This window comes from Homo sapiens, chromosome 22 (genome assembly GCF_000001405.40).
Source record: "Homo sapiens chromosome 22, GRCh38.p14 Primary Assembly".
NCBI classification, from domain to species: domain Eukaryota; kingdom Metazoa; phylum Chordata; class Mammalia; order Primates; family Hominidae; genus Homo; species Homo sapiens.
The window spans coordinates 24,089,891-24,114,110 of record NC_000022.11 but is presented as its reverse complement, the minus strand read 5'-3'; the positions used below and the strand labels follow the sequence as shown (position 1 = coordinate 24,114,110).

The 24,220-nt window shown below is 50.3% G+C and overlaps 1 protein-coding gene across 48 annotated transcripts in view, besides 2 other annotated features; it reads right to left on the bottom strand.

Annotated features, from left to right (window-relative positions):
* Window positions 1-24,220, bottom strand: part of CABIN1 (calcineurin binding protein 1) — a 167,325-nt gene that overhangs the window by 64,518 nt on the left and 78,587 nt on the right. For 28 of the 48 annotated variants that reach the window (XM_047441218.1, XM_047441219.1, XM_047441226.1 and 25 more), the window contains 4 exons: window positions 22,268-22,528; window positions 18,029-18,180; window positions 15,919-16,097; window positions 363-545 (listed from right to left, as the gene is read on the bottom strand). In XM_047441218.1, the coding sequence (XP_047297174.1) occupies window positions 363-545; window positions 15,919-16,097; window positions 18,029-18,180; window positions 22,268-22,528 (775 nt within the window). Of the gene's footprint in view, window positions 1-362; window positions 546-15,828; window positions 16,098-18,028; window positions 18,181-22,267; window positions 22,529-24,220 lie in introns of all 48 variants that reach the window. The other 20 variants (XM_024452184.2, XM_047441227.1, XM_047441220.1 and 17 more) reach the window with 2 other exon arrangements.
* Window positions 21,835-22,334: an enhancer, noted in NCBI's record as "H3K4me1 hESC enhancer chr22:24487731-24488230 (GRCh37/hg19 assembly coordinates)". NCBI's record gives its function as "activates a minimal SCP1, AML or CMV promoter by ChIP-STARR-seq in naive H9 embryonic stem cells {active_cell/tissue: H9 hESC(naive)}" and the evidence as "EXISTENCE:reporter gene assay evidence [ECO:0000049][PMID:30033119]".
* Window positions 22,335-22,836: an enhancer, noted in NCBI's record as "H3K4me1 hESC enhancer chr22:24487229-24487730 (GRCh37/hg19 assembly coordinates)". NCBI's record gives its function as "activates a minimal SCP1, AML or CMV promoter by ChIP-STARR-seq in naive H9 embryonic stem cells {active_cell/tissue: H9 hESC(naive)}" and the evidence as "EXISTENCE:reporter gene assay evidence [ECO:0000049][PMID:30033119]".

Genomic DNA, 24,220 nt, shown 5'->3' with positions numbered 1-24,220 from the left:
TTTTAAAATAACCATTTACCAACAACAACAACAACAACAACAACAACAACAAAAACAGAGCACACTGATATCACAGACATGGCTTTCCCGGGCTGGGTTGTGAGGGTCATAACAACAACAGGCAGCATCCCTGAGCACATGTGGTGCTGGGCTCTGTGTGCACCCTCAGGAGCTGCCTCACTCAACCCTCACAACCCCAGGGCGGGCACTGGGACCATTCTCATCCTACAGGGAGAAAAATGGAGGCCCAGGGAGTAAGTGACTTGCCCAGCCAAGGTCCCTGGGCCACGAAGCCTTCGGCTTTGCCCAGATTGCCACAGGACATCAAAGTGGTTCTAATTCACCGAGTTAGGGCTTCATACCTCTTTCTTCTGTGGCCCCCTGAAGATCTTTACCCGTCGCTCCTGCTTGGGAACTGAGAATGGGCAGCCTCTTCTCTGTGTAGGATTTCCTGGAGCCTTCCAGTAAGCTGGTGGGCTCATTAAAGAAGTCCTGCGTTGAGCTAGAGTCTGAGAGTGCTACGGCTGTGCTGTCCTGGCTTCGGTCTGAGGGGAGAAGGAGGAAGAGAGGGCGAGAGCATTAACCTACACCACCTCCAACACAGGGGGCCTTCCTATGGTGAGTCTCCCTGCCGGTGGCCTGGGGACTGCTTTGCAGGAGATGGCCTGAACACAGCCATTCGACACTGCTGGGCCCAACCCATCCCAGAGGCCACGGAGCAACTCACCAAATGCACCAATCTCCATGGTCAACCCTCCTGGGGTTCCCCCAAACAGTGGTATTCTGGTAAATGTTTAACAACTGGCTCTCAGGGAAAAAGAAAGCCCTGATTAATAGCACTTACTGATTTCTGGAGTGTAAATATTCCCACCATGGCAATTTTCAAGTTACCAACGTGCTGTTGTCAAATGTGGAGTTAGGAAGAGATGCACAGTAGCCACCACTATGTAGTTTTTCTACCATATAAATATAACAGAAACAAATGAAGTGGGAAAGAATTCAGGAAACATTTTTAACCTGTTAGTAAAAGCCAGGTGTGATCTGGAAGAACTCTAGATCTCTGGGAGCCACAGATGTAAAAGGAGTTTGTACTCACTCACTGGCTGCCTTCTTCGGACCTTCACAGGTGCTCATGAGAAAGAAAAGGGGCGGGGCAAAGAGGGAAGTTGAGGAAACCTTCCTGGGAGTAGTGCAGATCTGGAGGGGAGGAGTAGTTGATGCTATGGAAAAGGTACAAAGCCTACCTGGAGGAACAGAAGCCTTCAGGCATGGAGGTGGGGGAGGAAACCTTGTTGCTTTCAGGGTACAGGTGAAGACCCACTGCAGCTGGGGAAGGGAAAAGGAAAAACCTTCTATTCTAAGGGAGGGGCAGGAAATCATCTAGGGTCCAAACATTAGAGGTCTCCTACCACTGAAGGACGGGCAGAATCACTGAGAAAGCACCACCCCTGAGATGCAGGAACACAGAGCCCACCTAAGTCTGAGGCTGGGACCAAGACAACAGAGAACTACCCCATGTCCCCAACCCTAGGCTGGCATGCACTGAGTAACAAGCAAGGGAGTCTACTGCAGGGAGAAGGCAAGAACATGGAGGAGTACCCTCCCTGAGGTACTCCCAAAGGCCTAAGGCTGAAGGTGGAACTGGAATGTTGAGAAAAACCTTGTGGCAAACCAGCTCCCCTACTAAGCACAAGGTAACATGAAAGGAATTTGAGCTTGGGAGGTTAAGGCTGCAGTGAGCTATGATTGCACCACTGGGGCACTAAAGGTAACCATAGCAACAACAAAACCCAAGCCAGCTCAATTTCTGACTAGCCTAACTCAACTTTCCCTACTAAAAGCCTAGAAACAAAAGAGGGAAGCCTATTCCAGGCATAAATATTACTTATTTCAGTTTCTTCTGTCCTACACGTGATATCTGGTATTCAATGTAAAAATTGTAAGACACACAAAGAAAGAAAGAAAAAAGTACATCGTCAAGAGACAAATCAATCAGCAGAACCAGACTCACAGATAACCCAGATATTGGTACTACATGTCAGGGAATTTAAAATAACTAAGATTAATATGATTCATAAATATGATTAGTATGTCAAAGGCTGTAGTGGAAAAGCTGAACAATATGCATGAAGAGACAGGAAATTTCAGCAGTGAGATAAAAAAAAGCAAGAGTCAAATGCAAAGGCTAGAAATAAAAAACACAGTAACAGAGATGACGAATGCCTTTCCCAGACATTGCAGCCAACCTGACACAGCTGAGGAGCAAAAGGAAATCAAAACTTGAAAACAGGTCACTAGACATACCGACAATCTCCAACTTACAATGGTTCAACTTAAAATTTTTTTGACTTTACAATGATGCAAAAGTGATATGCATTCAGTAGAAACTACACTTCAAATTTTGAATTTTGATCTTTTCCTGAGCTAGTGATATGCAGTACAATATTCTTGCATGAGATATTCAACACTTTATCATAAAATAGGCTTTGTGTTAAATCAGCAGTCCCCAACCTTTTTGGCACCAGGGGCCAGTTTCATGGAAGACAATTTTCCACAGACTGTGGGGGCTGGAGGGGATAGTTTCAGGATGAAACTATTCTCTGGCATTAGATTCTCACGAGGAGCGCACAACCTAGATCCCTCACATGTGCAGTTCACAATAGGGTTCACGCTCCTATAAGAATCTAAGGATGCCTGCCACTGATTGGACAGGAGCCAGGGCTCAGGTGGTAGTGCTCGCCTGCCTGCTGCTCACCTCCTGCTGTGCAGCCCAGTTCCTAACAGGCCACGGACTGGTACCAGTCTGTGACCTGGGGGTTGGGGACCCCCGTGTTAGATGATTTTGCCCAACTGTAGGCTAACGCAAGTGTTCTGAGCATGTTTAGATGAGGCTGGGCTAAACTATGATGTTGGTAGGTCAGGTATATTAAATGCATTTCTGACTTAATTTCAACCTACTTTTGTTTTATCAGGAAATAACCCCATTGTAAGTTGAGGAGCATCTGTAATCCAAACCCAGAGAAAAAGAGTGGACAGGAGGAATCAGAACAGAGCATCCAAATGATCCAACATGCTAATCGGAGTCACAAAAGGAGATGAGGGTGAAACAGGACAGTAGAAATATTTAAAGACATAATAACTAAGAATTTCCCAAAAATAATAAAAGACATCAAATCACCAAGATTCTCAGAAAACACCAAGCAAGGGAAAGATCCCTCCACACACATTTAAAAAAAAAAAATCACACCTAGGTGGGCCATTTTGAAACTGCTGAAACCCAAAGATACAAAATGTTGAAGGCAGTCAGAGAAAGATACATCAGATACAGAGGGACAAAGTTAAGAATTACAGCAGACTTCTCATTAGAAATTACACATATCTGACAATATCTTTAAAGTGCTGAAAGAATAAAATAATCAACTCAAGATTCTATACTCAGTGAAAATATCTAAAAATTGCAGGAAAAAAAAAGGTTTGTTTTTTTCCAGGCAAACAAAAACTGAGAGAATTCATTACCAGCAGATCTGAGTTACAAGAAATGTTAAAGGTAATTTTTCAGGTAGAATGAATATGAAGCCAGATAAAACTTGGATCTACATAAAGAAATGGAGTTTCCCAGAAATGGTTAAAGTTATGGTAAATATAAAAGATCTTTTTATGTTCGATTTTTCTAAAACATTATTGTTTACTTTCTAAAGCAAAAATAGTAGCAATGTATTGTGGGCTTAGAGCATATGTAAAAGTGAAATGAATGAAAACGAGTGCAAAAGATGAGCAGCTCTTCCACTGCCTACGAAGTAGTACAGTATCACCTGAAGGCAGACTGCAATGAATTAAAGGTGTATTTTGTTAACCCTAAGGCAACAACTACATTTTTTTAAAAAAATGATACTATAATAAACCAATAGTAGAGATAAAATAGAACTTAAAAAAAATTTTTTTTGAGACAGGGTCTTGTGTTGCCCAGGCTGGAGTGCAATTGCACGATCTTGGCTCACTGCAACCTCTACCTCCCAGGTTCAAGCAATCCTCCTGCCTCAGCCTCCTGAGTAGCTGGGACTACAGGCGTGCCCCACCACACCCAGCTAATCTTTTTTATTTTTAGTAAAGATGGGATTTCACCATGTTAGACAGGCTGGTCTCAAACTCCTGACCTCAGGTGATCCACCCACCTCAGCCTCCCGAAGTGCTGGGATTACAGGCGTGAGCCACCACGCCCGGCTGAGAACTATTAAAAAATAAAACTTTGTCTTGAACTTTACATACCTCAAGGTGAAGCTCAATAAACTAGCAACCAAGAGAGCTAAGTTCAAGTTCCTCTTGTGCCATTTACTAGCTGAGACCATGAGCAAGTTAAGTCCCTTTCGCACCTAAAAACTGCAACCACATATCATCTCACAGAGGTCCATGCCACACTGGCCTCTTGGGGAACACAAGGAGAAAGGCAGACACAGTCCCCTAGGGTCCACCAACCCTTTGCTCAGCTACCTTAAAAGCCTGGTATTGGTCCATGTTTTAGTGCTAATCAGCTGGGTCCTACTGGTAGGGTAGGCATGAGCTGCCTGGTAAGCAAACTTGAAACAACATATAAACTTGTTTTGGCTGGGTGGCTCATGCCTGTAGTCCTAGCACTTTGGGAGGCCAAGGAGGGAGGATTGCTTGAGCCCAGCAGTTCAAGACCAGCCTGGGCAACATACGGAGATGCCCGTCTGTACAAAAAATTAAAAAAAAAAAAAAATTAGGCAGGCGTGGCAGTTACTTGGGAGGCTGAGGTGGGAGGATCACTTGAGCCCAGGAGGTTGAGGCTGCACTGAGCAGTGATAGTGCCACTGCACTCCACTCTAGCCTGGAAAAACAGAGCGAGACCCTGTCTAAAAAAAAAAAAAAAAGCAAAATATAAAGTTGTTTCAAAAAAGTTGAAAGCCTGGACTCTGGAAGATCCAGGCTGATAGAACTGAAATTCTGCTCTGTCACCTACTATCTCTGAGAGCCTCTGTAAATGCCATAATTATTTATACTTCAGTTTCCATGCATGTAAAACTGTGATAACATAAGCACCCACTTCACAGAACTGTTATGATTAACTAGGTTAATACACATAAAGTGTTTGAATCAGTGCCTAACAAACAGTAAAGGTTCACAAAATGTCAGTTTATCAATACTATTATTTCAGAGAACCTGAGCATGTTTTATCTCTTATGTCTCAAATGTGCCATTACAGCTTTAGGTCTGAATGAGCAGAGGGTTTTGCTGATGCCATATTGGAGCCAATACCTAAGCAGCACCATGTAGATGGGGGGGCAACATTGACACAACAGGCCTGTCAAAGTGGGATGGCCTGCACAGAGGATACTGAGGATCAGGTCTGTGCTCCAAAGGGTGCCCTGCTGCTCTGGCCTCTTTACCCATGTCTCATCATATACCAGGGTTTGGGGACAGTGACCTTGTAGGCATCCCTGCCATAGCCCTTCCTTCATAGCTGCCTTTGCCATGTCCACTGCCCAGGAACTGATGGATCATCAGTATCAGCTGGGCTGACAGAACAATGAGAAATGAGGACTTGGGACGTGTATAAGACCCCTGAGTGGAGGAGCACAGACCTGACCAGAACCTCTCTCTCACGCTTGTGAAAGGCTCTTCCCTGACTTACAAAGCCAGAATACAAGGCTCCATGAGCACTGAATGGCAGTTATGAGCAGGCCTGCAGCCCTCACAAAATGTCCCAAACTTGAGTCCCCAGCATGAGGGGATCAAGAAGAGGTGGGGCAGCCCATTTGCTGGCTGTGTGTAAAGGGAGGATTAGCAATGGGGACCCTCTAGAGGCCACGCAGGGTCATTGTAGGAGCTTAAGGGTTGGGCTCCCAGACCCACATTCCCATCCCAGATCTGCCACTTAGGGGTTGGGTGATCTTGGCCAAATGATTTTGCTGCTCTAGGCCCCCACTTCAGGTTTTTTAACACGATTGCCATTGTCTTCCTACCTCTGTCCCTGACACATACATGGGATCCCACAAAGGCGTGGCTAGTGCCCTGCACACAAGTGACAGCCCTGCAGCATTCACTCTGGCCCTGACAGTGAGAACACCGATGGCTTAGACAATGCTCGTGAGGCCTCAGAGTCTCTGAAAGACAGCAGGCCATGCCCCGCAGTTGAAGTCTCCCTGAAAGACAAGCTAGGGCTGGGTCTCCTCAGCCAGCCTGAGACTAGCTGAAGTCACTGCACAGCTCAGCAGCACATCCTGCGGCAAGCTCCAGGAAGCAAGCCTTGCTAGGATGATTTCACCGACTGGCAAGCTGCCCCACGAGCTCACCGGCTCACAGGCTCTTTTGGGCTCTGGGCCTAAAGGAATTGCCAATTTGGTGGAATCCCAGCTGTGATCATTATGAAAACTAAGGATTGGTTTAGGCAAGTAGATATTTACTCTCAAAGTGCTAACACCCTCTTGATGCTGCAATGTGAAGGAACCAGGATCCATCCAGCAGGCAGTGAAGGTGGCCAGACCTCACCAGGAACTGTGTGGGCAAGAAAGGACGGCATGCTGTGCAGGGGCTTCTGCTCCCTGAAGAACGACCACCAATTGAGTGGGGACTCTGCTGAGACTCTTAAAATAACATCCACAGCAGTGGAACAGGGCAAGCACAAGCCAAGGGACCTGGCAGGGACAAAAGGCTGCTGACTACACTTTGCCAGGCCCTTCCTGAGCCTCTCAGACACAGATGTGAGAATCTGGAACTGCCAACCATCTAAAAAACCAGAGAGCAGAGATTGGTACTGGCCCTGGGGGGCATTGTGGTGATTCTAGACAAACCCTTGTTTAAGGGGTAATCAAGGTACCTAAGTGGCCCTGAGGAAGGCTCTGCTAATGGGGCTCACCACAGTCTTGGGTGCCACCTGCAGGTCATGATGCTGGGGTGGGCTGCTGTGGCAGAGCTGGAGAGGCAGGGGCTATGTACACAGAGATGAGATGCCCAACTGGCCTGTGAAGCAAGCAGGTGGGGGAGGTGCTTGCCAAGGTTCCCGCCCACTACCAAGGGGGCAGCACCACAGGAAGGAGTCCAGGGATGTGTTATCTCTTCAAATGAGAGCCACCAAAAGGGACTCAAGGCCCAAGGCCCATTTTCTGCTCCTTTCAGATCTTGTGTGTCTGAAAGGGTTGGCACAGCCTATTTAAAATGACCCTGATTTCAAATACTAAAAGTCAACCCAAGGTTTCATACCAAGTTTCAAGCCAGTCAGACTGAAAGAACACCAAGTTTCAATTCTTTCACGTCAATAGGGCAAAAGGGATGAATGAAAAAGCTCTTAAAGAATGGCTCTATCTACCTGGGCAGACAGTGCCCCAGCCTCCATTCCTCCTCTTCTGGGGAAGCAAACTTTCTCTGGTACAGCTGACTGAAGACCTCAGAGAGGCCACAGACAGACAGAAAGACAGACAGACAGACATGAACAGTGGGGTAAGTTTGCCAGGAACATCGCAGAGCATGTGAAAAGGACCCTCATCCTGCCACCAGCTGGGCTGCTGTGGATGGGACAGCCCAGGGGCTGGGTGAGTCAAGGTAGGGAGGACAATGTGCCACAGTGCTGGGAAAAAGCTCTTGGAGAACAGGACCCCTGCAGTTGGATAAGCTGGCAGGGCAGGCAGCAGGGAGGGTTGTTTGGACTGTGGTGTGTAACCCAGAGCCACCCCCATTCCTGAAGCAGGAAGCCCCTGCTCTGGGAGGCCCCTGAAGAGGGGCAGGAGGAAAAGGAAGGATGCCGCTGACTACTGTCATCTCTCTACTCCCAGCAGGCCCCTCTGCAAGGTCATCTCTCAGGTTACCAGACCTGCAGCCAAGGAAGGGCCAGTGTGCACAGGGAAGGCTTCTGGGAGAAGAGGTCACAGGTCAAAGGCTTCTTCTCTGGGGTAGGACCCCCATCCATCAGCCATGTACCTTTGGGCAAGGACCACTCCCTGAGCCATACTCCACCCGCTTCCCAGACAGCTGAACGCAGCCTAGCACCATAATGCACCACTCTCATGCTGCCCAAGTGAACTGGGGAGTCTTTGAGTATGTGTGGAGAGGGAATTCTGGCCTCAGGAACAGCCTACAGGCCTGGCTCCAGTCCTACCTCCTCCACAGGATCTTTGGGATCCTGTGGCCCTAGGTTCAAATGGGCTGACATGCAACTTTGTGTGCTAATGGCCTGTGCTGAGCCCTCAGAGGACCGGCTGGGTCTGCCTGTGCTCTATAGACAAAAGCTGCCAAGCCTGGTGGCAGAGGCATTTTGTTCTCCTGCCTCGCCTAATAGAGCAAGGCCAGATGGAAGAAGTCAGAGTCAAGCTGTTTTTCTGTGGAGGGGCTTTTGGGTGAGGAGGGGGTTCTGGGCCCCCTGGTTCTGAGGCAGAGCAAGAGACAGATGGAAAGCCTCTTTGATGTAGGAGAGCCAGACTTAGCCTAAACTTCCTATGGGGCTGGGTGGAGAGAGCCTTCCAGGGAAACAGGCACCCTGGATGGAACCTCCAGGGACTGTCCACAGTCCAGGTATCTAGCCTTGAGACTCAGGAGCTGAGAGCTGATTTCTTTAGGGAGCTACTTGGAGGCCAACAGGAAAGAAGAATGGCACTAGCAAGCAGGCTATAGGTTGGCCTTGCTCTTTTTTTCAGAATGTTCTTTTAAAAATCTGCCCACACAAAACCTGCTCATACTAATTAATATTTGTGGCAAGATTATAAATATTTTATTGTTACTGTTAATTACTGGAATGTTTCGTGTCTATGCATCTGGGCCACGCCAGCCTTCCCTCTGAATCCTTAGGGGGATGTGCGTCTGCCAGCCAAGTGCTTATTAAACTGCCTCCCTCTAAGCTCCAGAACCTTCTACTTCCAGGGTGGGATTTGCAGGATCAACTGTAAAGGAATGACAGCTGGCAACGCAGAGGGAAAGAGACCTGGCTCAGTGACAGAAAGGCTGCCTGTCCCCACTCAGTGTGAGAAAAGACTCTGTGTTCTGAGTCCTCCTTGTTCAGGTCTGACTCAGCTCAGATCCCTTGGACAATCCCAGGATTCTCAGGCCAGCCTAAAAGAGCTCTTTAGTTACAAGATGCAACTTTCCAGTGTCTCTTTAAGTGTGTTTCCTCCATTTGCTCCAGCAGTAAGACCAGAAACAGCTCACGGCCATTTGTTCCATCAGCCTGGGGCAGTGAAAGCCTGAGGAAGAAGATGTATGCTTGTGCTACTGCAACAGCTCTGACTAGTGCCCCAGAAAAGACCACAAATGTCCTGCCGACCAGGAAACAACAGGTTTCTAAGAACCGTAAACTTGGGTGGAATTAGTATTTTGAGAAATTTTCTGACTAGATAAAAGCTGCCTCAGTCAATCCTGGCCAACCACAGGAAAAGAACACGTCCACCAGAAGCAAGGCTGGCCCGGGAAATCGGGGTGCCCATTGTCAGGCTGAGAAGACTGGATGGATGCCAAAGAAAAGTGGTACCAGAAACCTGGGGGCCCCTGAGAGAGAGGAAGATACACAGCAGGCAGCAGGTGGGCATGACGGCATTGTGTGAGGGCCAGGCTGCACCACTTGTCCATTCTTTGCCAGTGCTCACAGGTGAGGGCCAACTGAGCACTGCCAGGCACCTCGAAGCCTGGCAGACATATCAGAAGCCTGATATGTGTAGACACCATGGTGCTGCCCTGAAGGGGCCTGATGCTCGGAGGCCTCATCATGCATCTCTCATCCTGCCCTCTGAGCCAGGAAAGGCACTGACCAGGGAGGCCTCGGGAGGCTTTAAACATTTTCCTGACCAAAGGCAGGTGAACAGCCCCTCTTGATACAAATGCCAGAAGAAGCGAAGCAGTTCTGTAAGGTGTGAGGCTGGCATCCCCCAGCCATCTAGTGAGCTTCCCAGGAAGGCTCTTCAAAGGATGATGGGGGGAAAATTGTGCCTTCCTTAGAGCCCAGAGAGAGAGAGATCCTGTGACCACATCACTCTCCCTACTGCCCACAGGAAAGAGCCCAACCCTCAGAGCCCAGCTGCTTTCCCAAGCTCTCTCCCCTCAAAGTCTCTTTTTCATCCACCCCAGTCACCTCAGTATCCAAAAGCTGTAGGACTCTCCAAGCTCCATGTCTAAATGGGCCTGCAGGCCTCTCTAGAGACTCACCTTCTCCAGGAATTCTTCCCAACCCACCAAACCCCAGAACTTGCTCCCGTCTGCCAGCTCATGGCACTCCTCCTTGGCACCAACTACTGTCCCATGATACCATGGGACATCAGATCCAACCTGGGAGCAGGAATCAAGGCACCATCATCTTGACTTTCCCCATGGCACCCTTTTCCATGCCTGGCACACAACAGATGTTCAATAAATGCCGTGACCAGCTAACTCCTAAAGGTTTTCAAAAAGCTAAGAATGAAAGAAGAGAACAAAAGAGGTGAGTGGCTCTTCGCTGACAGCCTCCCCTGTCCCCTGCCCGTCAGGAACAAGCAGAACAAACTGAGCTCCACTTACAGTCTCTCCCACTTTGAGAAGGTCTGTTTAGGAATGGCACTCCAACCAGAAACTGACCTCCCCTTAGCCCTAGGAGGGGAGGTCACTGAGCAGAGGCCAGGGTGGGCCTGCCCTTTAGGACTGACTGGCATTCACAGCTCCCCGTCCTACATAGCCTGGCCCTGGTGGGCTGAAGACACAGGACCCACCTCAGAGCATCAAGGCTACTGTGCACAATTTGCATTTTTACACCTTTGTCCTTGTAAAGATAATTTGGTATGTTAGAGTCTGTTGCCTTTGTTGTTTATTTTAAAGCAAGAAAGAGCAAAGCAATGGAAATATAGGACTGGGCCACCTGCTGGAGGTGCAGGCAGGGGGGCAGTGGAGAAGAGGCCCCCACCGCATCTGCCTCTGGCCAGAACTGGGAGGATAGGCCATCAGCAGAAGCCAAGCGCATCAAACACACTCTCCAAATCACAGGGCGAGCAGACATGAAGGTGCTCCTGGTCACAGGGGTAGCAGGGAGCCGGACTGAGAGCTGAGCATGCGGGTCTGCGCTGTTCCCTGAAGCGAGCCGTGACAGGTGCAAGCAGAAAGACAAAGCCTGGAGAACAGAGTGTGGTCAGGGTTAGGGGCAGCACGGGCAATATTGGTGGAGGCAGCATGGGGCGAACAGGCGAAGATGAGCACAGACGGCACACGACACAGACGGTGACAGCATGGAGGTTGAGGATGGATGGCCACAATGGGGGTTTGGCACAGGGCACCCTGGGCTCTCCAGTGAGGCCCACACCCTACAACCTGGGGCTCAAGGTAGCCTGAGACTCCTCAGCGGCTCTGTGCATGCTGTCAGTGGGACTAGGTAGGCATCACCACCCTTGGTGGATACCAGCCTCCAAGGCTCCCACTCTTCTGACCCTGGCTGCTCCCTCTCCCCAACCCCTCAAGAGAAACACCGACACACCCCTCGGATCTTGGCTAAACTTTGCCTCCTCGGAAAGGCCTCTTACCCCACCAACAGGCCCAGGTTTCTCTGGGATGAACAAACCCCACCTCTCTGGTGCTGGCATCAGTTGACCCCCAACCCTCAGCTATGTAACTGACTGATTTGCACCAACCTCCTCTACAGCAGGGACCAGTGCTGTTCTATGCACCTGGCACAGCACTGATGGAACCACCTGGATGGGCATGGCTACAGGTTGGCCAAAGACCATAGAGAGGCTCAGCCCCAGACTTACCACAGCACAAGGCCTCCGAGCTCTGAGGCCTTTTCTGGCTCTGGCATTCTGAAGTGACATGGAGCACGACAGGCAGAGAGCAAGGATTTTAGTCCAAGAAAGGCACTATCAACACATCCCAAAGCAGGGCTGAGCCAGGCCAAGTGACGAACCAAGCCATTCTGTAATGGCTAAGCTCTCTGGGCCCTCTGCTGAAGGACAAGGGAAACACACACAGATTCAGTCTCTGCCAGGCTGGCCAACCACAGGGCCTTCCTAGTGTCAGTCTCACCTCTGGCTAGGGGTGGAGGGAGATTCAGACCCAGTATCTCTTGGCTATACCCTGACTACAGCAGGCAGTTTTGGATGAGTGCCTACCTGCCCTCAGCTCAGGTTCCTCTTGGGGAAACAAGGGCATGACCGAGCCTGCAGGGCAGTTATGAAGATGGAGACATGCTACTACCCTGCAGGCACCTGCCCAGAGCCCAGCACAGAGCAAGCACACAGCATTGAGTGGTAGGGCGTAATTACACACGGGCACACACACACACACACATACATACACGCATACTGTACACAGGGTAGGGGTAGAGGTCTTGTTCAAAGATCTCCTTATGTTGCTTGAATATGTATAAAGAGTAATCACTGGGAACCCCCTGAAGGTCACAATGTGCTCCTCGGGTCACCTCGTTTTCCTGGTCAGGAAGCTTCAACATTAGGGATTTCAGCCCTGTGGGCAAATTCCAAGAGATTGACGGAAGGCAGAAGTTAGGCAGATGGGGAGCACAACCAGCCAGAGCTGCCAGCAGCACAGCAGAGGACAAAGCTTCTCTCTCTGTTGTTCTCTCTCTTGCTCTCTTTCTCAGCTTGGCCAGAGGTCAGCTGTGATGCCCTCCTGGCTGTTCCGTGAAGGGCTGGCTTTGACACCAGGCTGCGGTAGAGTCAGAGTGACCTGAGGGGCTGATTCCAAAGGCTTTTAACCAGAGTTATGCACAGGCTGCAGGATGCTCCCCACCCTAATGCAGGTGACACAAGGTTGCAGGTGAGGGTGGTTCAGAGAACAAATTTGGGTCCTATGAAGCAGCTATTATCAAATGTCAAACAACCCACATGTACCTGGAGCTATTTTTCTAAATCTTTTCTAAATCTTAAACCAAATCAGAATTGATCCTAGCTGATTTCTGGTTTTGAAGCAAAGGCATACCAATGTGGGAAGGCAGCTCCAATGCAAGGTCTCCTAACCATGCCCAAGGAAAGTCCTGACGCCTGGCTCCCTCTCCCACTGCTGGAAAGTTAATTGTTCTGTGGGGGTAGGAAACCAGGATCCAGAAAGCCCCATGCCCAAGCCCACTCAGGAGCTGCTGCTTCAGAGGACACTACCTCCACCTCTTGTGAGGCCATGCCACTAGCTGGAGAGAGGTGGGGTGCAAACTGAGGGGGACTGGCCCCAGAGCCCAGGCTCTTCCCTCTATGCAGTGCTACCTAGGTCTTACCCTAGTTCCACCAATGACTTGGAGAACTCCATCCAGGAGGTGGCTGCAATGTACAAGCACTTTTGTTTAATACCCATAACGAAGACATTACCCCATTCAACAGGTGAGGAAATTGAGAAGTGAAGTCCTTTGTCCAAGGTTGCAGAGCACATATGCAATGGAGCTGGGACTGGAAATCAGATCCTTTGACCAGGGCCTGCTGTGCACTTGCCTCCCTGTCTGACCTCCCCATCTGACCTCCCCGTGACTGCTTCTCCTCAGCTGTACCAGGGCTAGAAGCACCCATCACCCTCCTGGTAGTATAAGGGCTCAGTGGTGGCCTGCAATCAGTGCTGACGCCCCTCTCCTCTCACAGTAGACCCAAGGCTGGTCTCAGGCCAAGAAGCTGAGTGGAAACTAGGAACTACATGTTCTCCTCCCAGGAAGGAGAAGCAGGAACAGAGGTGGGCAGTGTGGCCCCTTGAGGCCACCAGCACATCCCCTGACACCAGCAATCTGCTGCTTCTCCCTGGAACCTGGGCCTTCCCCTAGGAACTAGTATAGCTGCTGAAAGGGCCACTTTAACATTCTAAGATCACAGCTATTTTAGGACCCCAAACATTTTCATGTTGCAGACACTGCTTTCTCTCAGAGGTGAGGCAGCTGAGTTCTGAAAGCATTATGCAGCCAGGCCTGGGCAGAGCACACAGGTGGCCAGTGCAGGGCTGGGACTGGGCAAAGATGGGCCATGGGATCCTGATGGCTTTGTGTCTTTGACAGGAATCACTTTGAAGACATTTTTTTTAAACAAATGTTCAAAACTGTGCAACCACTGAAACCATATTTGAACTTATTTGTATGGCTCCCTCTGCAAACTTCCAGAACAAATAACTAGCATGTTGGCACCCAGGACCTGTCATGCCCAGTTGTCATGCCTGAGTGATCTGCAGTGGCTCACCAACAGCTTCATGCACACATATGTGCCAACATGGGACAGCTGGCATCATGGCCCCCTTTCTGAGGCGCTCCTGCCTCCCTCCTTTCCTGCTTCTAGAGGCATACTCAACCCTAATGGGCTGACATCCAAGCACAGTGGCGCATGTGGCGTGACCTCAGTGGGAGCCTGCAGAGCTGCAGAGGACAGTGCTTGGGTTCCCTAGCCCAGGTGCATGTGAGCACGGCCACATGGCATGTGGACAACCAGGAAAGGCATTCCTCTCCTGAAAACTTTGGCATAGTGCTTCCTCCCAGGAAGCAGCTGGCAAAAACTAATTCCCTGAGAAGGGGTTTGCTGCTAGTATGTTTTCTCAATATTCTCAAGAGTAAAAGTTTGGGAACAGGGTGATTAACTTAACTAAGAAGGGGAGAGAGGATCTTAACAGGGAAAGTCTGCAGAACTGAAGATTGGAGGAGCAGGTGGGTCAGTTCTTCCCATCTCTGCTTAACACTCTGGGGTGGGCAGCGAGGTGTCAGTGCTGAGACTGGGAGTAATGACATGAACCTTCCAGGAGGTAAGAGACACAGCACACACTCAGATCCTCAGCCTCTCTCAACACGCATGCTGTAGATCCAAACCAAACCCAGGAGGGGACACTGCAGGTCTCCTTTCCTTTCTTGAGAATAGCAAATCCTGCCCCCAGAGAAATGGAGCATTGGCCCCCTTGTCATCCTTCTCCAGCACTTCTTTAAACCTGCTCTCAAGCCCTACCCACTTAGTTCAGAAAGTTGGAGGCAGATGCCCATGCTATATCCAGGAACCCGAGCACTGGGCAAGGGCCTCAGCAGGGCACTAGAGCGAAGGTGGTGGCCCCCCCCAGACCTGTACTGGGACTGAACTTCAAGGCTACCATGGTGCCCTAGAGTGCCCATTCTTACTCCAAGGAGCCACTCTATAAAGACTATCTGGCAGGAAGCAGAGCCCTGGGACCAATTCTACCCACCTACTAGCATCCCCATGCCTTGGGGAATGCAGAGCAAGGCCTGTTTCCCCAAGCCCAGATGAGATGAGTGACATAGGAGTGAGGGCCCAGGTGTCTTTCAGCATTGTCACTACCTCCCAGGACTCCACTTTAGTGGTCCTCTTAAATCACCAATTTGGCTTATCCCAGCAAGTACTTTGTCACTAGCTTATCACTATAAAAATGAGAGAACATGAAGAAATCGAGCTACAGGCCAGCATGCAAGCCTCCTAATGTTAGTAAGGAATGTGGTTGAACAGTCGCCACCTGCCCCATCCCACATGGCATGGCCACACATATGGTCCCAGGTGACCCCCATTAACAACTTATCTGGATTCTCAGGGGTGACAGACTTAGAACTAGTCACGGCCTTCCCTCAACCTTCAGAAGGACAGAGCAGTAACAATGTGCTGCTGAACAATGCAGGCATCACTAAGCTGACTGCACCAGGAGCCCCTCCAGGAGGCCACACTCTTCTAACTTCCTTTCAAAGTAGATGTCATGTCCCCATTTTGCAGGCGAGAAAAAGAAGGCTCAAAGATGTGAGATGCCATAGCCTGGCCTGCCCCCTCCCCTGGCTCCCAGGTGGGCAAGCTGGCAGGTGGCGACCCTGAGCATGTCTCGGAAGCACAAGAATCACTGTGAATCCATGAGGTTAATGAGCAGCCGCAACATTGCCCGTGTCACCCCAGACCCAGCACCCCCCCTCACCAAAACGAAGCGACAAAATGAGTCGTCCGAGCACCCCCCCGTGATTGATGTGCCGCCCTGGGCTGGCAGTAGGGAGAACAGGGACTGTACCGTCCGGCGTTGCCTGCTGGTGGGGTTTTTTACATTTGACGTAATCGTGGTCAATCGGAGTGGCTGTGTAAGGTGGGGATGTCAGACCTGGGCCAGAGGAGGAGGGGAGGGAGGCTCCGGGGCCCGGCAGTGTCCCAGCTGAAGAGTGGGAGTCCTCGTCCACCAGGCAGGCCTTCTCCCTGTGGGAACAGAGGTTTGGGGCACAGGTCAGAGTCTCCACCTCACATTGAAACAGATGTGTACTGGTAAGGGTGAATGCCCTTCCCAGGGCCCACTGCTCCCATGCACCTCTGGTGGCCCCCACCCCATCTGCCTGGTGTCACAGAGCCCATAGTTGCCCCTACAGCACCCACACAGGCTCTGGCTCCTAACTGGACACTGCCTAATCTTTCTGGCAGGGCGCGACCTGCATCTCTGAATTTCAGGCCCCAAGAGGCTCTATAGAGGAGCCAAAGAGTCTTTCTTCAGAAGCACCCTTGCATCTCTCCATGCAAAGTCTATGCCTTCTGTGTGACAGCCTGACAAACTTAAGACCTGACAAATGGGCAGACAGAAACACATCTGCATTTACTGCATGCTCACACATGTACAAGGATATGTGCTGCAACATAGTTGAGCAGAAACATTAGAAACACTCTAAATGTCCATTGGAGTGGTTACATAAAACATGGTACATCCATACTATGGTATAGTAAGTAGCCACTAGAAAGAATGAAGTGACTGGGGTACTATCTCCATGGACTGTTGCCCAGACCCACTGTCAGGGGAAAAAGCAAACTCTAAAACAATACCTTCTGTAGTTCATTTTTATAAAATAAATGAAACCTTACAATTGTATGTGTGCATTTAAGTGTTATAAATATACAGAAAATGATTTAGGAAATTAAACTGTGAATAGTAGCTAACTCTTGGAAGGAGATCTGTCACATTTTAGTCTACATGTTTATATACTACCTGAATGTTCTATAACAAGAAAGTATTCATGTATTATTTGTATAATTAAAAAAAATTTAACAGAATTATAACCAATGAAAGAAAGTATCATTGTATGTTGGGGGCCCTTTGTGACTAAAAAAATGGGTAGCTATAAATTCTGAGCACAGCGGCTGCCCACCTGAGTGGCCTGCCATGCATGGACGTGAACCTCCCCATAACCTGAGGGGCACACCGACTGTGGAGCTGGCTCACCTGTGGTGAACATCACACAGGCTATCTGTGGTCAGAAGCAGACAGCCCTCAAGCACAGGGCCTGGGTGCAGGCCTCTCTGGCACTCAGCTGAACCCCGCACAGTGCCCAGTCAGGCAGGGGTCAGCTGAATTTCGCACAGTGCCCAGCTAGGCAGCGGACTCAGAGATGGGGTGAGCTGAGCCCTCCCCTGGCTCCCATGTGGGCAAGCTGGCAGGTGGTGACCCTGAGCATGTCTCAGAAGCACAAGAATCAGCATGAGTCCATCAGGTTAATGGGCAGCTGCAACATTCCCCATGTCACCCCAAACCCATCTTTCTCCCTAGGACTTGCCCCTGAGGATGGGGCGGCACCAGGACCTGGGCCTGGAGTGAAAGAAGTCTGGGCTGTGGAGATGACTTACAACCACAGGGAGACTGGGGTCAGTCCAGGCCCACTGAGAGGACCACACCTGAGCCCCAGTCTCTCCGAGCTCTCTGGCACCACATGAGAAGCCCACACTTCCCACACTTCCCACTGCTTCTCAGGAGAATGGGCAGCAGACAAGGCCTTGGCAAAGGACCCAGGGGTGAGAGTCTGCAAAGCAAAAACTGACTTTCTACAGTGTTCTGCACAGAACAGAGCTGTGCCCCAGTGGAGAGGGCAGGAGGGCATCAGCTTCTCCCCAGGACTTCCCCTTAGGGTGGGGTAGCACCACACATGACCACAGGGTAAGGGGACTCACACTCACCCTCTCCTTCTCAGACTCAACAGAAATACCTTGGCCCAGCAAATGGGAGTTTCCAGATGGGTCCTAGGGACTCCATGAGTTCTAGTTTACTGTTTACTGTGTAGCAACCCTCTGAACAACACATTGCAGTAAACGAGCCATCTGGGATGCAGATGGGGTAAGCTGCTAGGGGTCGCCTGAAGGGTGCTACTCACTTTTCTGAAGCTTTGGGTGTGTTCTTCTCCTCGCCCCTGGCAAAGGGTCCTTCTGCAGCCTCCTTCATAAAGTTGACCAGGACCTCTGCACCAACCCCAGAATCGGGCTTCCCCAGGAGCTTCAGGATGGAAGCATGGAGCCGAAAGTACACCTAGGAGAACGACACCTCTAGTGTGAGCAGCCTTCCCAGTTGCTAAGATTTGTTCCACAGGCCAGTCAGCCACACTGGAAATGGGCCCATGACCAGGGCAACAGGCTGCCACACACTGCTTGTTTTTGTTAGCTTTTAAACCAACCATCCTACAACTAATTTAAAACAAGCTGTGAAAATTAAAATGTATACTGTCAGCATTCCAGCTTAAACGTTCACGCAGTAACTCAGGCACATGGTAGTGAGATGAGAGTAATAACCACTCATTATGATAACCCTTCAGCTCCGTTCACTGGGCACTGCCTCCCGCCACAGTGCTGCTGTTCTCTTTGTGCCCTTCAGTGGGCACCCATAGAAAGTGAGTTTCTACATCTGTCTCCCCACTGAACTCTGGACTCCCTGAAACAAGGACTAGGTTGGATTTCTGTTTATAGCCCAGCCCCCAGGCAAAGCCAGGCACCCACAGGCCTCGAAAACGTCTTCCCCGTGGGTGTGGTGGGGGGGTGGGTGGGCAGGCAGCTCATTGCATCCATTGGGCCCTGTGCTTTCCTCCATTTCCTCAAGTCCTTACCACATTCCTCAATTTAAAATGGGTGAAGAGCTGCCCAAGGCCCCACAGCCGGGAATGCCCAGGGCCAGGTTAAAACCAGGTCTGCCCTGATCTTCTCATGCAGGAGTGGGTGTGAGGCAGGCTCCCACTTGGAGGGCACAGTGGGTGGTATGAGGGCTGAGAACTGCCATTGCAGGCCCTGGCTAAGTGGCCCCCCTCACCCAGGTGAGAACCTGCTGGCAGCACTCTCAAGGAGGCATCCCAGACAGAGGGGTCTCACATCCAGAGCCCCTCCACCTCTAGCCCACCTATGGAGCCCAGAGAAATTGGCCCAGCAACTCCATTTTTAGATGTAGGAAACCACTCGAGGCACCCATGCACAATCAGGTGGCCAAACTTGGGGGAGGGCAAAGCATTCAACTGGTAAAGTTCATCCAAGTGGCGAGTAAAGATTCTTGAATGAAGGCACAATAGCAGAGGAGAATTTTTGTCAGGACAGAGTTAAAAATCTTCAGAGAAATGTCATTTTTGTTTCTTTTTTTTTTTTTTTTTTTTTTGAGACGGAGTCTCGCTCTGTCGCCCAGGCCGGACTGCGGACTGCAGTGGCGCAATCTCGGCTCACTGCAAGCTCCGCTTCCCGGGTTCACGCCATTCTCCTGCCTCAGCCTCCCGAGTAGCTGGGACTACAGGCGCCCGCCACCGCGCCCGGCTAATTTTTTGTATTTTTAGTAGAGACGGGGTTTCACCTTGTTAGCCAGGATGGTCTCGATCTCCTGACCTCATGATCCACCCGCCTCGGCCTCCCAAAGTGCTGGAATTACAGGCGTGAGCCACCGCGCCCGGCCAGAAATGTCATTTTTAACACAAGATATACATATTTACCAGCTGACTCAAAGTTACATAGCTACAATGGTTGCATGGAATGGGTTGCCCCCCAAATTAACTATGTGTGCTTGCTCTCCTTGGAGCCAGCACTGTGTGCTGGGAGAGGGTAGGCCACACATCTAAGGCCTTGGTTCCTCATATGGAAGCTGCTGGTACCCCTGGGGCTACCATCCTGCCTGCTCATCTGCTCTATCAGGCAGTAGTAGAGGCCAAATCTTGAAGAAAAAAACATGGAGGAAAAACAGAGTTGACATCATCTTCCTGAGGGCCACACGTAGGTTCAGTGGCTTCCCAGAGGTGCCATATGAGAATGCTGGGCTCAGTGGGCATCTGGCCCAGCTCCTCTCTGTTCCTGCAGGTGACTTAAGGCAAGTCATCACATCACTCCTCTGGGCCTTACCCTTCTCACCCCCAAAGTGGAGTTCTTCCAAGGCACCTGCCCCCAGGTGGACAGTATGAGCACTATGACAGGGAAGGACGGAGATCCAACGCCGCGAATGAGCGCAGCCAAGCTGCTGCTCCTGAGATAGCGTTCAACAGGAAGCTGTGTTTCCACACTTCTCCATGAGCCCAGTGAATATGGCCCCAAAACAGGCAAATTTAATTTTTTTTTTTTTAGACAAGGTCTCACTCTGTCTCCCAGGCTGTGAGTGCAGTGGTGTGATCACAGCTCACTACAGCCTCGACCTCCTGGGCTCAAGCAATCCTCCCACCTCGGCCTCCCAAGTTTCTGAGACTACAGGTGCGTGCCACCAGGCCTTGTTAATCTTTTATTTTTTGTAGAGATGGGGGGGTCTCATCATGTTGCCCGCTAGTCTCTGAGATCCCCAGCTCTATATCTCAAACTCCTGGACTCAAGCAATCCTCCCAAAGCAGTGGGATTATAGGTGTGAGCCACCATGCCTGGCCCAAACATTTTTTTTTAAATGAGTTTTTTTTTTCCTTTCTTTTTTGAGACAGGGTCTCACTCTGTCACCCAGGCTGGAGTGCAGTGGCACAATCTCAGTTCACTGCAACCTCCACCTCCCAGGCTCAAGTGATCCTCCCATCTCAGCCTCCCAAGTAGTTGGGACTACTGGCCTCCACCACCACACCTGGCTAATTTTTAGTAGAGATAAGGTTTCACCATATTGGTCAGGCTGATCTCGAACTCCTGACCTCAGGTGATCCACCCACCTCGGCCTCCCAAAGTGCTGGGATTACAGGCGTGAGCCACCATACCTAGCCAAAATGAGACATTTTTGTTTGCTCACAAAATTAGCAAATATTAAAAAGAGAACCTCATCAATATGGCTGAGGGAAAGCAAACACTCTCATCAGTCAGTACGACCTTGGGGCAAGTAGCCATTGTTGATCAGAATGCTAAACAACCTGGCAATTCCACCTTTGGACTCTAGTCCTTGGAAATACTCATGATGTGCTCCCTGCTTCAAGTACAAAGACATGCACTGCCTGTGCCTTGTCATAGCAAGAAGTGGAGAGGAAACCAAACCTATCAAGGGTCCGTGCAGATAAACAAACGCCCTGCTAAACTACAGGGCACTAGGGCAGGCAGGGAAGCTCACCACACCTTCCATTAAATTTTGTCCAGCGAAAAGACAAGCTGCAAAATCATAAGAAAATGTTACTATATGTTTATATGTTAATAGGAAAAAATTCGGACATACAGGGACATAGCAAACTCTTAGGGATTATGGAGGGGCATACTGGAATCACTAGGGGCCTTCACATTCACACTGTACACTTCTGAGTTGTTTGAATCTCTTTAAAACACACACACACACACACACACACACACACACACACACTTTTATAATCAGGAAAAAAAATCACAAAGGCAGAAAAAAGCAAGCAGCAGATTCTGTCCACACTCCAAGAGGCTTGCTGGGCACGTGAGACTGGTAGAGACTGGGCACATAGCCTCAGAAAGGGCAAAGCCAACGTGCACAGGGCCTTCAGAAGCTTCAAGTCCTGGGCTGAACCAAATGGTGGACATCTGGATCTCTACCAATGTCCTTGGTTTTCCTGCCTACAAAATTGACAATCGTGGCTGCCCAGCCTGCCTCACAAGACTGCTATAAGCAACAGTGACAGCATTCATCAGAAACACTCTGGAAACCATGAGAGAAAATCCAGGGAGTAAAGAACTGCTCTTTTCTTGAACAACAATCAGAAGACTCCAAACTGGGGGTCAAGAGAGCAGGCTGCTCACCCTAGCTCAGCCCCTGCCAACCTGGGTAGCCTGGGCACAGGCTGGGCTTTGGATGTCTCATTTGCACCCTGGAGGCAATGGTGCCTGCCCTCCCTCCTGCCAGGCTACAGGGTGTGAATGTCCTGGGCCTGGGAGATGCTATGTAGCACTGACTGTCATCACCAAGGTCAGGTTCTTAGAACCTGTGTTAGTGAGGAAAGACAATTTTCTTCTGAGAGATAAGAACAAAATGGTCACTCTCCCAGAAAGGATGATAAACACCCCTTGGGAAAAGAGAGGAAATGATGTTTTAATTCAATTGCACATGAAGCTGCTCAACACAGATAAGTTTGCGGCAGGTTGAAGGACGGTCACTGGAACCTTGAGCCACATGCCCAGGGAGATAAAGAAACCAGCCTGCCCCTGCCCTGCTTCCCCGCCCTGGGCCAGCATGGTGTCACCTCCAGGGCCTCCATGGCCAGCTCAGGTGGGTTGTGGTAGTGGATCTTCTTGGGGTAGCGGGCAGCCTCCTCGTGCAGGTAGTGGCCAGCCTGCCTGTAGTGCAGCAAGTAAACGGTGGGTGGCTGCTGCTGCTTCTCAGCCACCTTGCCCAGCATGTAGTGGATGAGCCACTCCTCCTCGTCACCATCACCCTCGCAGCGGGCTGCTGATGTGAAACAGTGCTTGGCTGTCTCTAGCATGCTGTCGCGCCGGCCCTCCATCTGTAAGAAGATCATGAGACTGGGCTGGCCTTACGCCTGAACCTGCCCAGGGATCAGACTTTTTCCTGTACAAAGCTCTGCCGACCTATTTGCAAGTTTATACTCCTCTTAACAACCAAGACACAGAAATGCCCTCACCATTTCACAGCTGGTGACACCGAAGTGTAGAAAGGCCTAGGGGTTTCTCAAAAGCGCCCACCAAGCAAGGCATAGAGCAGGACTTAAACTCAGGTCACCCCATGTCAACCAGGGTACTTTTTTCTGCTTTCCCCCTGCAGCATCTAATGCAGATTCACCTAGCACCCTGCTCCACAGCACTGGAGAGGACATTTACTAACACTCAGCACCCAGCCCTACGGCACTGAAGAGGGCATGTATTTAGCACCCAGTTCCACTGCACAGGAGAGGGTGTGTACCCCTGGGGTACAAGAGGACTTCCCACCATCTCCTCTGTGCTCTTTAAGACAGATGTGGAGTACTTGTAGAAGGGCAAATTCCTGAGCCCCACTTAAGAGCCACTGACTGGGAGTCTGCATTTGCAGCAAGCACCTCCAGCCACCCTCTCACAGCCTGAAGGAAGGAAACAGCTAGCTAGGAAGGAAGGAAAAGAGGGTCACCTTTTAAGAGGCACTACTTTCCAATACTGGTCAGCTGCCAGCCAAATTCATGACCCCTGATTCCAGAACTCTGGGCTGGAAGCTAGAGAGAAGCCTGCATGTGCAAGCCCACAGAGCTGCTCTGAGCAGCCCAGGTCTCTGATCCCTCCTCTCTGTGGTCCTGGATTGATAGCAGGGAAGCCAAAGTCTCTTCTTGCCTGACCTCAGGGGCCAGTGAGAGGGGATGAGTCTGCAGGCACTAGTCTCTGGCAAGGGCAGCTGCTGTGGCCTGCAGGAAGTGCCTCATGTTCTCATCCAGCCAGGTTGAGCCGGCCCTTGGATGTCTCTCCAGTGGGTGCTTGTTTATGTGAAAACCCTGTAGCAATGGCCCCAGGACTGAAATAAGGGAGCAATGTGCTACCCAGTGCTCTGTTAGACACTTCTCAGGAAAAAAAAAAAAAAAAAAAAATGACCACACAGGAAGTGGGAGATCATCAATGGGTGAAATACAGTGGAAAGCATCACAGTGCAGGGTCAAACACGGGACCAACCAAGTGACTCCATCACATCCCCTTCAAGATGGGATTCTGTGGCAAATGTGCTGAAGTAAAAGGCAATGGCTAAAAGGATGTCCTTCTACTTGAATTGCTTTGTAGCTGTGTGACCTGGACCAAGTCACTAGCCCCCCTGCCCACCCTGTTCTGCCACTGGCACCTGTAACAGCCACCTGCCAAGAAAGAAAGGGTAGCTGTGAAGTGGCCCATCTGGGCTGGCATCTGGTACCATGCAGACCCTTGGGAAGAGGCTAAGCCCCCACCCCTTCCCCATACAGGGCACAATGCCAATGTCCCTGTCCTTGTGGTGTGGAGGTCACAATACCTCAGACAGGAAAAGGAGGGACAGTCACTGAGGGCCTGCTGTGTTTCAGAAGCTCTACTAGACACCATCTCACTACCTTGCCATCCTCAGAGCAGAATAGGCACCTCATTCACCTTGCATATGGGGTGCCCATGAGAGGGGCTCAGGAAATGGCTGATGGCAGGTGTTCCCAATGAACTCTCACAATACTGCCTTGGAGAAGGAACCACAACAGGAA